The 13,546-nt window shown below is 36.7% G+C and overlaps 1 protein-coding gene across 5 annotated transcripts in view; it reads right to left on the bottom strand.

Annotated features, from left to right (window-relative positions):
- The window catches only part of CFAP299 (cilia and flagella associated protein 299), a 642,486-nt gene that overhangs the window by 104,287 nt on the left and 524,653 nt on the right, over positions 1-13,546 (bottom strand). The gene's annotated exons all lie outside the window — the stretch shown is intronic.

Here is a 13,546-nt window from a genome sequence, read left to right as displayed (position 1 = left end):
GCTAACATCATAACGACAGGTTCAAATTCACACATAACAATATTAACTTTAAATGTAAATGGACTAAATGCTCCAATTAAAAGACACAGACTGGCAAATTGGATAAAGAGTCAAGACCCATCAGTGTGTTGTTTTCAGGAAACCCATCTCACATGCAGAGACACACATAGGCTCAAAATAAAAGGATGGAGGAAGATCTACCAAGCAAATGGAAAACAAAAAAAGGCAGGGGTTGCAATCCTAGTCTCTGATAAAACAGACTTTAAACCAACAAAGATCAAAAGAGACAAAGAAGACCATTACATAATGGGAAAGGGATCAATTCAACAAGAAGAGCTAACTATCCTAAATATATATGCACCCAATACAGGAGCACCCAGATTCACAAAGCAACTCCTGAGTGACCTACAAAGAGACTTAGACTCCCACACATTAATAATTGAAGACTTTGACACCCCACTGTCAACATTAGACAGATCAACAAGACAGAAAGTCAACAAGGATACCCAGGAATTGAACTCAGCTCTGCACCAAGCGGACCTAATAGACATCTACAGAACTCTCCACCCCAAATCAACAGAATATACATTTTTTTTCAGCACCACACCACACCTATTCCAAAATTGACCACATAGTTGGAAGTAAAGCTCTCCTCAGCAAATGTAAAAGAACAGAAATTATAACAAACTATCTCTCAGACCAGAGTGCAATCAAACTAGAACTCAGGATTAAGAAACTCACTCAAAACCGCTCAACTATATGGAAACTGAACAACCTGCTCCTGAATGACTACTGGGTACATAATGAAATGAAGGCAGAAATAAAGATGTTCTTTGAAACCAACGAGAACAAAGACACAACATACCAGAATCCCTGGGACGCATTCAAAGCAGTGTGTAGAGGGAAATTTATAGCACTACATGCCCACAGGAGAAAGCAGGAAAGATCCAAAATTGACACCCCAACATCACAATTAAAAGAACTAGAAAAGCAAGAGCAAACACATTCAAAAGCTAACAGAAGGCAAGAAATAACTAAAATCAGAGCAGAACTGAAGGAAATAGAGATACAAAAAAACCCTTCAAAAAATTAATGAATCCAGGAGCTGGTTTTTTGAAAGGATCAACAAAATTGATAGACCGCTAGCAAGACTAATAAAGAAAAAAAGAGAGAAGAATCAAATAGACACAATAAAAAATGATAAAGGGGATATCACCACCGATCCCACAGAAATACAAACTACCATCAGAGAATACTACAAACACCTCTATGCAAATGAACTAGACAATCTAGAAGAAATGGATAAATTCCTCGACACATACACTCTCCCAAGACTAAAGTAGGAAGAAGTTGAATCTCTGAATAGACCAATAACAGGAGCTGAAATTGTGGCAATAATCAATAGCTTACCAACCAAAAAGAGTCCAGGACCAGATGGATTCACAGCCGAATTCTACCAGAGGTACAAGGAGGAACAGGTACCATTCCTTCTGAAACTATTCCAATCAATAGAAAAAGAGGGAATCCTCCCTAACTCATTTTATGAGGCCAGCATCATCCTGATACCAAAGCTGGGCAGAGACACAACAAAAAAAAGAGAATTTTAGACCAATATCCTTGATGAACATTGATGCAAAAATCCTCAATAAAATACTGCCAAACCAAATCCAGCAGCACATCAAAAAGCTTATCCACCATGATCAAGTGGGCTTCATCCCTGGGGTGCAAGGCTGGTTCAATATACGCAAATCAATAAATGTAATCCAGCATATAAACAGAACCAAAGACAAAAACCACATAATTATCTCAATAGATGCAGAAAAGGCCTTTGACAAAATTCAACAACGCTTCATGCTAAAAACTCTCAATTAATTAGGTATTGATGGGATGTATCTCAAAATAATAACAGCTATCTATGACAAACCAACAGCCAATATCATACTGAATGGGCAAAAACTGGAAGCATTCCCTTTGAAAACTGGCACAAGACAGGGATGCCCTCTCTCACCACTCCTATTCAACATAGTGTTGGAAGTTCTGGCCAGGGCAATCAGGCAGGAGAAGGAAATAAAGGGTATTCAATTAGGAAAAGAGGAAGTCAAATTGTCCCTGTTTGCAGATGACATGATTGTAAAATCTAGAAAACCCCATTGTCTCAGCCCAAAATCTCCTTAAGCTGATAAGCAACTTCACCAAAGTCTCAGGATACAAAATCAATGTACAAAAATCACAAGCATTCTTATATACCAATAACAGAGAAACAGAGAGCCAAATCATGAGTGAACTCCCATTCACAATTGCTTCAAAGAGAATAAAATACCTAGGAATCCACCTTACAAGGGATGTGAAGGACATCTTCAAGAAGAACTACAAAACACTGTTCAGTGAAATAAAAGAGGATACAAACAAATGGAAGAACATTCCATGCTCATGGGTAGGAAGAATCAATATCGTGAAAATGGCCATACTGCCCAAGGTAATTTACAGATTCAATGCCATCCCCATCAAGCTACCAATGACTTTCTTCACAGAATTGGAAAAAACTACTTTAAACTTCATATGGAACCAAAAAAGAGCCCTCATCACCAAGTCAATCCTAAGCCAAAAGAACAAAGCTGGAGGCATCACGCTACCTGACTTCAAACTATACTACAAGGCTACAGTAACCAAAACAGCATGGTACTGGTACCAAAACAGAGATATAGATCAATGGAACAGAACAGAGCCCTCAGAAATAACACTGCATATCTACAACTATCTGATCTTTGAGAAACCTGAGAAAAACAAGCAATGGGGAAAGGATTCCCTATTTAGTAAATGGTGCTGGGAAAACTGGCTAGCCATATGTAGAAAGCTGAAACTCGATCCCTTCCTTACACCTTATACAAAAATTAATTCAAGATGGATTAAAGACTTAAACGTTAGACCTAAAACCATAAAAACCCTAGAAGAAAACCTAGGCATTACCATTCAGGACATGGGCATGGGCAAGGACTTCATGTCTAAAATACCAAAAGCAATGGCAACAAAAGCCAAAATTGACAAATGGGATCTAATTAAACTAAAGAGCTTCTGCACAGCAAAAGAAACTACCATCAGAGTGAACAGGCAACCCACAAAATGGGAGAAAATTTTCGCAACCTACTCATCTGACAAAGGGCTAATATCCAGAATCTACACTGAACTCAAACAAATTTACAAGAAAAAAACAACCCCATCAAAAAGTGGGCGAAAGACATGAACAGACACTTCTCAAAAGAAGACATTTATGCAGGCAAAAAACACATGAAAAAATGCTCACCATCACTGGCCATCAGAGAAATGCAAATCAAAACCACAATGAGATATCATCTCATACCAGTTAGAATGGCAATCATTAAAAAGTCAGGAAACAACAGGTGCTGGAGAGGATGTGGAAAAATAGGAACACTTTTACACTGTTGGTGGGACTGTAAACTAGTTCAACCACTGTGGAAGTCAGTGTGGCAATTCCTCAGGGATCTAGAACTAGAAATACCATTTGACCCAGCCATCCCATTACTGGGTATATACCCAAAGGACTATAAATCATGCTGCTATAAAGACACATGCACACGTATGTTTATTGCGGCACTATTCACAATAGCAAAGACTTGGAACCAACCCAAATGTCCAACAATGATAGACTGGATTAAGAAAATGTGGCACATATACACCGTGGAATACTATGCAGCCATAAAAAATGATGAGTTCATGTCCTTTGTAGGGACATAGATGAAATTGGAAATCATCATTCTCAGTAAACTATCGCAAGAACAAAAAACTAAACACCGCATATTCTCACTCATAGATGGGAATTGAACAATGAGAACACATGGATACAGGAAGGGGAACATCACACTCTGGGGACTGTTGTGGGTTGGGGGGAGAGGGGAGGGATAGCATTGTGAGATATACCTAATGCTAGATGACGAGTTAGTCGGTGCAGCGCACCAGCATGTCACATGTATACATATGTAACTAACCTGCACATTGTGCACATGTACCATAAAACTTAAAGTATAATAATAAAAATAAATAAATAAATAAAAAGAAAATAAGATAAAAAAGAATAAGATGATTTATAAAGGAGAAATAAACAGTAGAACTTGCACTATTAGACAAAATAGCTACAATAATTACATCATATATCATTGGTACAGTGATGAATATAGATCAATGAAAAATACTAACTTCAGAAACACACCCATGTACACAAATGTGTATGCATATAATATATATGCTTTCCATAAGTTGATTTTGTTTATATTTTCTAAATTTCTAAAACAAATATCTATTCTTTCTTTGACTGCACAATTCCAAAATCTTGTCTTTATCCACTGTTTTCTGACCTCCATCACTTGTCTTTCTAGCTAACATATTCAATCCAATAATCCTTTCGGCTCTTTGGAGTCACTAATCCATTAAACCATCGTATTTTAGTATGCTTGTCTTCTTTATTTGCTCATTTTTTCTCTTTATTAAATTTAGATTCCACAGTGTAGCATCAGAATTGTTCAGTTGTTTAGCACTTCAAATTTCTTGCACACATCCTTCTATCTAGTTTAGAAAATTCTGATACCGTTTCAACCCAATTTTCCTTTTCTGTTTTTTTTTTTTTTTTTTTTTTTTTTTCATAGCAACAGCTGAGTTTGGCTAGAAAAAGAAACTATGATGACTGGTCTCAGTAAAAATTAATGACCATAAACGCCCACGCTCCCAATTTTTTTTACATATCTTCTCTCTCATCAAACTTTCACGAACACCCTTTCTCACATTCAATTATTTTCTCTCTGGAAATACAAACAATCAGAACAGAGCCACTGTGTCTTCCGCCCATCAGATGTGCTGATCCATCTGCACCTAGATCTGTGTTCTTCCTTTCATCCTGTTATAATGGCTGGGATATCCATGCTTCTGTCCGAGGCCAGTCTCTCTTTTTGTGCATTTGACCTCATTTCATCTCATGTTACTTTCAAATAATTGATTTATTTACCTTGTGTAAGTTCATTACTATTAACATTTAAACATTCTGTACTATCTAGTATTTGATAAAGAGACTAATTACAGTCCCGCATGTCTGCTTCTCCTTATAGCAGAATCCTCAATATTTCTTTAGCTATTACAGTCATTTTCCTGCAGCACTCTGCTGAAATAGCTTTGTTTCTCACACCAACTATTTTATCTTTCCAAATCCAAAGGTCAATTTTGATTTTTAAAAAATTTTACTTGAACTCCAAGTGGCATTTGACATAATTGTTCACCACCTCTTTTTGTGAAATGTCTTCTTCATCTGCATCACTGACACTGTGTATTCTCAAGGTTTTATTCTGCTTCTTCAATCTCTTCTTAATTGGCTCCTTCTCTTCTTCCTGACCTCTAAATTTTGGAGTTCTCCCAGGCTTAGTCCTCATCTTTTCTCTGTCTGCATTCACACACCAGTTGATCTTATCCAGTTCCATGAATTTACTTAATTATCACTTTTTACTCTTTCATGAATTTCAGACTAGTGTATATATTCTTTTCTCTCTTCTCTAAGGTCTCATAGACAACTGAAACTGAACATGTCCATCACACAACTTCTTTTAATATCCTGTCTCACCACCTCAACCAAATCTTCTTTCCATGTAATATGCAACATTATTTACCTAATTGCTCAGGCCAAAAACCTCGGGGTTCTTCTTGATGCCTACTTTTCATGACACTTCACATTCATTTCAATCCATTCACAAGTCTTGTTGCCTCTACCTTCAACATATATAGTCTGTTTCTTGCATATTTTTCCAACCTGATTCCCACTATTTTCCCTATAACTTATTCTACTCCAGCCATATGGGTCTTCTGATAAAAATGTTTCTGCCTAGGGCCCTTTTGTATGATATGTTTTCTGCCAAAAATGGCCTTTCCTCAGCTATCTAAAAATCTTGGTCTCTCACTTCATATAGATTTCTGCTAAAATTTCACTCCTCTAGAAATCTTCCTTGGTCTCTCTAACAAAAGTAGCATATACATTCCAGGTGCTATGGCTTTGCCTTGTTTTATTTTTGTTCACAGCAGCTATATCTATCTTGGTACTTATTTCTTTATGCTTTACTTCATTTTAAAATTGCCTTTTGGCTGGGCATGGTGGCTCATGCCTGTAATCCCAGCACTTTGGGAGGTCGAGGCGGGTGAATCACCTGAGGTCAGGAGTTCGAGACCAGCCTGATCAATATGAGAAAACCCCGTCTCTACTAAAAATACAAAAATTAGCTGGATGTGATGGCAGGTACCTGTAATCCCAGTTACTTGGGAGGCTGAGACAGGAGAATTAATTGAATCCTGGAGGCGGAGGTTGCAGTGAGCCAAGATCATGCCACTGCACTCCAGCCTGGGCAATAGAATGAGACTCCGTCTCAAAAATAAATAAATAAATAAATAAATAAAAAGAAAATAAATTGCCTTTCTTTCTCCTTAGTTTGCAGGGGCCATAAAGGTAGAGACTTCATTTTGTTCTACATGCTATCAACAATGTCCTGCACAGTGCCTGGTACATACTGGCCGCTCAACAACTATTTGCTGAGTGAATGCATTGATGATATTCCTAATATGCATCTATCAAAAGGAATAGAATAGAATAACTAGTTGGGTTTCATGTTGCTGAATATTAGAAAGAGAACTTTACACTTGTGATGTCATCAAGAGCATTTTCAATAGATGATGAGGCCAACTATGATGAATTAAAGAGTGAATAGAGAAATAAGAAATAAACATATCTTACTTAGATAACCCTTCAGAAATCTTTTTGCTAAGAGCAACAGAGAAAGGAAGTTGGTTCTTTCTTGAATAGAATGCAGTGTCAAAGGAATCACGTAAATTAATAATGCTTCCTTCTTTGCTTTTATCTGTTTGGAAAACATAGAATCAAACTTTTTGTTTGCCATAAAAACAATTCTATGTTCAAACTTCTCTTTTTGATTTATCTTATTATCTTATTACTTTATTATTCTCTCCCTCTGTCTCTCTCTTTCTGTGGTGTGTGTGTGTCTCCAATTTCTTCATTTTATTGGGTGTTTCTCTAAGTTTATCACACATAAGAATCACCTGAAAGGCTTGCAAAGCACAGATTGCTGAGTCCCATCCCCAGAGTTTCAGATTCAGTAGGTCTGGGATGATGTCCAAGAATTTGCATTTTTAACAAGCTCTCAGATGACGCTGATTCTGCTGATCAAGGGAATTGCACTTTGAGAACCACAGTTTTATTTTAATGTGTTTGTGCTTTAGTGCTGACTTGGAACAGGGCAAGAAAGAATAAAGAGAAGAAACAGAAAAGGGAAGAGAAGGCGGGAAGGAGGTATAAAGGTACAATACAAAAATGTTTAATAATTAAATAGTTATATAGGTAGGTCTGAATATAAAAATATCCAGCTCCCTTCTTATATTCTCCTCTTATATTCCTTTAATTGCCAAAAGAAGCCCAGATCTATCCTTGTAGAAGCTGACACACATTTAGTAGTACAATCGCAGATCAATAATAAACACCAGCTGAATCTTCCTGACAAATCATATCGCCAGGGTTTTAATGATAGAAATTCAACTGTAGTTCCACACTGAGGCTACTGTAACCAACATAACAATGTGCCAGAGAGCCAAGATCCGTGATGTCATTCCAATACCAAATAATAGATCAGCTTAACAGAAGATGAAGGCTGAATTGAATATCCCTGAAAATGGTCCCATCCCACCCCATATTTTCATACTCAAATTACTATTTCTACATGACCCTATAGCTTACTTGATTTTTCCAATTGTTTTGATGCTTTGATTGGGTCTTTCTCAAGTCATTTTTCTTCTACTTTATGGATCAGTTCATGGGTCAGGGTTGCCCAAATACCCTGATGTTCTTCTATACCTTTCAGTTCCTACAAAGGCAATCATTCCTTCTTTTTCTTCTCCTTTCATTCCAACTATGTATTTTCCCTACATTTTTATAAGTGTAAAATGACATAATCGTGAAATAATGAAATGCATAGTGTCTTTCTTATTTTCATCTATTTTCACAAAATGTTAAGAGGTTTAAAAGAAAGAATTTACTTAGAACCACAGGAAAATGTTGATGGAAGTTTTACAAAGAACTGATCAGTGCCTAGCTCATAGTAGATGCTTAAAAATATTTGTTGAAAGAATGATTAAATTAATAAGGAATTAATACATTTCTTAGGCTTCATTACTGGATCCTCTTTATATAGATGCTCCTTAGCTTGGCCAGACATTATTTTCTTGAACAGTGACTTCAACTACCACTTATACACCAGAAGCTTTTAAATCGTTTATCTCCAGTTTTGAGGTTTTTCCTTGATTTTTAAAATTGTCTGTGTTACTGTCTACTACATCAGTCTAACTGGATGTAATCCAGGCATCTAGATTTTTAAAACCATGTCATTCCATAAATTTGCTCTTATGTTTGTTATAAGAACAAATATCTACACTATCAACCAAAAAGTAGAAGCTTCTGTATTAACTTTGATTTCTTTTACTTCCCACATCTAATTAATCATCAAATTCTGCTGATTTTAGCTTCAAGAAATATCTCAAACCATGTCTTTGCTTTGTGTGATGATTGCCAATATCTTATTTCAAACCTCATTGTTTCCCTGTTGAACTATCATAACTACTTTCCTGGATACCGTTCATTCCTCACTCTATCCATTTTCAAAATTAGCTAAGAAATTCTTCTCTAAAATGGAAATCAGCATATGATTCTCCTGTTTTTATTAGCTACTTGGAGTTCTGAAGTGCAACCTTTTTACTATTGCGAATTGCTCATGATGTCCTACCAAACTATTATTCTAGGACCACTCTCACCTCTCCCTTACATATAATTCCTTTTGTGTAAGGTATTTAATTTCATATTTATATTTATTTTATTCAATAATGCATTCATATGCTTTCTAAAACTCAAGTTTTAGAAATGCATTCATATACTTTCTAAAACTAACCTCAAAGTTTTCCAAGAAATAAAGTATTACCATTTTCTCCTCCCTCATCTTGGTATCTGTTCCTCAAATGAACCTTCTTTAACTCTTAGTTGTTTCTGAATAACATATTAATACTGATATTTCTTAATGTTTTTCTTTTTGTTTCTACTTCTAATTATATGGAAGATGATGATTTCTAATATGTATCTTTTCCACTCTCAAACCATTCCTAAACTTTTTCTCCTTTTATCACCCCCCCCACCGCCATAAAGCTATGCCATAATTTTAGGTTAAAAAATTAGTCAGTGTTTTCAATTTTTGTACCTTATAAACATTAGCCACAGCTGAGCTATAGAATCAGAAAGTTGAAGTATCTATTCCCTAGCTATGATTAAATTTTCTTTCTTCAGACTTTTTATTTTCTATTGGGTTGTTTTGACTTTTTTACCTCCTCAGTTTATTTAAGCTTTAAAATGTTTAATTGACACATAATAATTATACATATTTATAGGGTACTGTGTGATATTTCAATATATGTATACATTGTGTAATGATCAAATCTGGGTAATTAGCATATCCATCACCTCAAACATTTCTCATTTCTTTGTGGTGAGATTATTCAGAATCTTCTACCTATTTTAAAATATACAATACATTGTTTTAACAATAGTCCCCCTACTGTGCAATAGAACTTCAGAATTCATTCCACCCATCTAATTGCAACTTTATATCTGCTGACCAACCTCTCACCATTTCTCCCTCCCTCTACCCTCCCTAGCCTCTGGTAACCACAATTCTCCTCTCTACTTTTATGAGATCAACTTTTTTAGATTCCACATATAGGTGAGATCAGGCTTACTCTCTTGATTTTCTATGTACCTATCACTAATCCCCTCAAAATTTCCAGCAAAACTATAACTATCTTCTCAATGTATTCATAGTCGGTCTGTTTTTATTTTCCTGGGAATATGCCCTCAGAAACTCACTGCTTTCTTTTACCTGTACTTGATTTTTTTCTAGGTTTCAAACAGAATTAACCATCATTTCAGGGAATTCTTTTTACCATCGTCTTGGGAATTTCCTCTGCTTCCCATCTGAGCTCTCATAACAGTTTTAAAAATACATCCATGTACCCCATAACAGCATTTTGGTTAACAACGAACCTCATGCACCATGGGGGTCCCATACTACTATAATGGAGCTGAAAATTTCATATCGCCTAGTGACATCTTGATGATCCTGACCCGGTGTAGGCTAGTTTTGTGTTAGTTTTTAACAACAAAGTTTAAAAAGTAAAGAAAAAATAATAAAAAATTTTAAAAAAGAAAAAGTTTGTAGAATGATATAAAGACAAATATTTTATGTAACTGTACAATGTGTTTGTGTTTTATATTGTGTTATTACAAGAGAGTCAAAAAATTTTAAAAATTTGAAATTTCATAAAGTAAAAATGTCATCGTAAGTTAAGGTGAATTTATTATAGAAGAAAGAAAAATGTTGTTCTATAAATTTAGTGTCACTTAAGTGTACAGTGTTTATAAAGTCTACCATAGTGTACAGTAATGTCCTAGGCCTTCACATGCACTCACTACTCACTGACTCACCCAGAACAACTTCCAGTGGTACAAGCTCCATTCATGGTAAGTGCCTTATACAGGTGTACCATTTTTTATCTCTTATACTGTTTTTGTTTTGTTTTGTTTTTGTTTTTTTGAGACAGGGTATTGCTCTGTCACCTAGGCTGGAATGAATTAGTGTGATCATGGCTTACAGCAGCCTTGACCTCCTGGGCTCAACTGATCCTCCGTCTCAGCCTCTCATGTAGCTAGGATTATAGACAAGTGCCACCACACTCAGCTAATTTATTTTTAGTTTTAGTATTTGGAGAGTGAGGATCTCACTATATTACCCAAGCTAGTATCAAACTCCTGGGCTCAAGCAATCCCTCCCACCACAGTTGCCCAATATACTATATTTTTATTGTGCCTTTTCTATGTTTAGATACACAAATACTTACCACTGTGTTACAATTGCCTACAATATTTAGGCAGTAACATTGCACAGGTTGGTAGCCTAGAAGCAATAGGCGTCTAGGTTTGTGCGAGTAAACTCTATGTTTACAAAAAGATGAAATTGCCTAACATCACATTTCTCAGAACATATCCCTGAGGCATAACTATGTTTCTATGTTAGTACTCATCACTTTATATTGTGGTTTTTGAGGTTCTTGTAGTCTGGACAGCATATGTTTATCAAACTTTGTATCCCTTTTTTTTTTGAGACAGGGTCTCACTCTATTGCCCAGACTGGAGTGCAGTGGCATGATCTCAGCTCACTGCAGCCTCGACCTCCCAGGTGCAAGCCATTCTTCTACCTCAGCCTCCCGAGTAGCTGGCACTACGGGAGCACACCACCACACTCAGCTAATTTTTGTATTTTTTTGTAGAGATAGGGTTCTGCCATGTTGCCCAGGCTGTTCTTGAACTCCTGAGTTCAAGCGATCCACTCACCTCAGCCTCCTAAAGTGCTGGTATTGCAGGCATGAGCCACCATGCCCAGTCTTAACTTTGTATCCTTAATATGTTTCCTGTCCTGATTCACAGTAGGTGTATAGCTGACAGGGATTTGGGATTGAGATAATTAAGCAAAGGCCAACAAAATAATCTTCAGGGAACTATTTATCTAATTATGCTTCACAGAAAGTGTCACCATGCAACAAATAGTAGCCCTAAAAGCTATTGTTTATTGAGTGTTTACTATATGCCAGAAATTTTCTCATTTAATTTTAACCCAAGCCCCATAATGTAGGTATCATTGTTAATTCTGTTTCACAGATGAGAAAACTGAAGCATGAGAAGGTTAAGTACCTGGCCTAGGGTCACGTAGTTAGTGCATCAGTCAGATTTCTAACTTGAAACAATGGCAACATTTGTTTGTTTACACAGGAACTAATAGATGGCATGTAGGGTCACCACAAGGGATATTGCATGAACCTGGAGCTATTAGTAATAAAACTGACATCATCTCTGCCACTAGACTTCCCCCAACACTACTCCCAAGAGGGAGAGTTTATCAGAACCCAAAAAGGAGAGGGAGGAAGAGTTGTATGTGGGTATCCGACAGAATTGCAGAGAGATTGTGTCAAGGGGCATAGACAGCTGTATGTCTACGAAGGGCCAAGGGAATAAGTACCTTCTTGCTAGAGTTTTATACTGGCCATATCCCACTGGGGCCAGAGCCTGGTCTCATGCATGTACTTTAATGGAAGCAGCCTTCCTGGGTAGAGCAGGGTGGAGAAGGAAGAAATGAATCTAAAGCAGCAGGAATTGTCAGTCATGATGCTGGGATCTGTACCCAAGCATCTGGACATGAAGCCTATGATCTTACTACTATACTATGCTTGTGGGTGGCAGGCAGGAAACTAGGTTCTGTTTTCAGTTCAGACTCCAAGAACAAAATGATTCTTCTGACCAAAGGGATTTTTGTTACCTTTTCACTATCATCACTAAAGGGCATTGTTCTTGCAGAAGAATGCAATTGCTAAGGAGAACAGGGGACAATCTTGGAAACTTACAGAAAATGACAGCAACATTACAGAGGCATTCTCAGTAGCGGGCAGATAGGCACTCAGCACTTTGCAGTGTGCTGGTTGGTATTAAAGGACTTCAGGAGAAAGCAAAGACTAAAAAATCAGAGATAAAGGAGTAGAAAAGAATGTGGTCATACCAATGGGTTAAGAGCACCCTGAGACAAACAACAGAGGATATGAACAAGCCTGAGCAGAATCTCATCAATTAACAGTACTAATTATGGGTTAAAACCACTTCCTCAGTAAGAAGAAACTATAAATCAATATCTGAAACCACTAGATAGGCTGTATAATTCACTGAATATTAATGCATAGTAAATTATTTATAGTTCTCATTATAATTGTCAACCTCAAAAATCTCATTTTCTCTATCAAATTATGAATTTAAAAACCCATCTGTATCTTGTATAGGCACCAGAGTAAATCATACTATGCCTTAGAGGGACTCATTCAAGGATACCTAATGAGAGACTATGTGTACCAAGTGCTGTCCTAGGTGCTGGAGATACAATATTGAACAAAGTAAGACCCTGACCTCATGGAGTTCACAGTCTAGCAAAAGACACACAGAATTTATCACCTGAAAACATGGAATGAGCTTCCTCTCCTTTACCATCTGACCATCTTCTCTTATCCCTTTGAAACTCATCTCATTGGAGGATTTTGTGGACCAATTCCTCCATCCCTATACAGTGTCCCCACAGAACTCATTTCTTACCTAATTCCTATCACACTGCCTCAGGAGATGAATGAGATGCAGTGTGCCTCTAATAAAGTCTCCCTATTAGAGCTTGAGCTGCTTGTGATTAAGGATGCTATCATTTATCTTGGTATTTCCAGAATCAAGCTTCACACCCAGCATAGACAAAACATGCAATAATGTTTATTGACAAAATACATAAGTGAACTATAGAAAAGAGAAGATAAAAATGTATTTCTTCTACCACTTTTCATATTTAACCTCAAAATAAGCATGAGTCAT

Source organism: Homo sapiens, chromosome 4 (genome assembly GCF_000001405.40).
Source record: "Homo sapiens chromosome 4, GRCh38.p14 Primary Assembly".
In the NCBI taxonomy this organism is placed as follows: domain Eukaryota; kingdom Metazoa; phylum Chordata; class Mammalia; order Primates; family Hominidae; genus Homo; species Homo sapiens.
This window is presented reverse-complemented; position numbering and strand designations above follow the sequence as displayed.